A 673-nucleotide genomic window follows, 5' to 3' on the forward strand; every position below is an offset into this window, starting at 1 on the left:
AGAAGAAGAAAAATGGAATCTTAATTTAAAAAAATATATGTAGTAGTATCTGCTATGAGATATTCAGTCTCTATAAAAAAAAAAAGGGACACAGCTTCTTTTAAAACCCTTGTTTCAGTCCATATTCAACTTCATGGAACTTCTGAAACATCATTCAATTTTGAACTTTATTTAAGAGCATTTTTGTACTGCTGTCTCTGACTGTCATGGAAAGTTCTGTAATTCTAAGGTGTTTCTGGTTTTATTTTTAATTTCTTCATCTGTACCACAGTCAAATTAGCAACCATCTCCCCCATCCCTTGGGCTTTCTGTAGATCAGTGGATGTTAGGTTTAAACTTCTGTTTTCTTTGATGAAGCTTTCAATAAAAAATGAAAATAAAATCAATTGAATAGGGCTGTTGTGTTTTTCTGCACTCATCCAGAGACTGGTTGTGGGAGGAGGGCTGATAGGAAGGAGTGGTGCCCACCTTTAATCTGGAACAGTGCTGGAATTTTTTAAATAATCATCTCAGCTAACAAAAAATGACAGAGGAGAGAATATTCAATACATGCCAAGGGGACCTGAGAAAGCCACTGTTTGTGGGAATTTAGAAAGAGAGGACCATTTAGGTCTTCCCAGGGACTCCCACAATCTTCCTCATTCTCAAGTTTAGGGATTTAGAGACCACAGAA

At 36.4% G+C, this 673-nt stretch overlaps 1 protein-coding gene across 11 annotated transcripts in view; it reads left to right on the plus strand.

The window, feature by feature from the left end:
* RBMS3 (RNA binding motif single stranded interacting protein 3) overlaps positions 1-395 on the plus strand; it is a 729,325-nt gene extending 728,930 nt beyond the window's left edge. For 8 of the 11 annotated variants that reach the window (XM_005265061.3, XM_017006180.2, XM_017006179.2 and 5 more), the window contains one exon: positions 1-395. This exon is cut by the window's left edge and continues 6,145 nt beyond it. The gene's annotated coding sequence lies outside the window, so the exon portion shown is untranslated. The other 3 variants (NM_001003793.3, NM_001177711.2, NM_001003792.3) reach the window with 1 other exon arrangement.
* The last annotated feature ends 278 nt before the right edge of the window (positions 396-673 follow it).

The sequence above is a fragment of the Homo sapiens genome, chromosome 3 (genome assembly GCF_000001405.40).
Source record: "Homo sapiens chromosome 3, GRCh38.p14 Primary Assembly".
In the NCBI taxonomy this organism is placed as follows: Eukaryota; Metazoa; Chordata; class Mammalia; order Primates; family Hominidae; genus Homo; species Homo sapiens.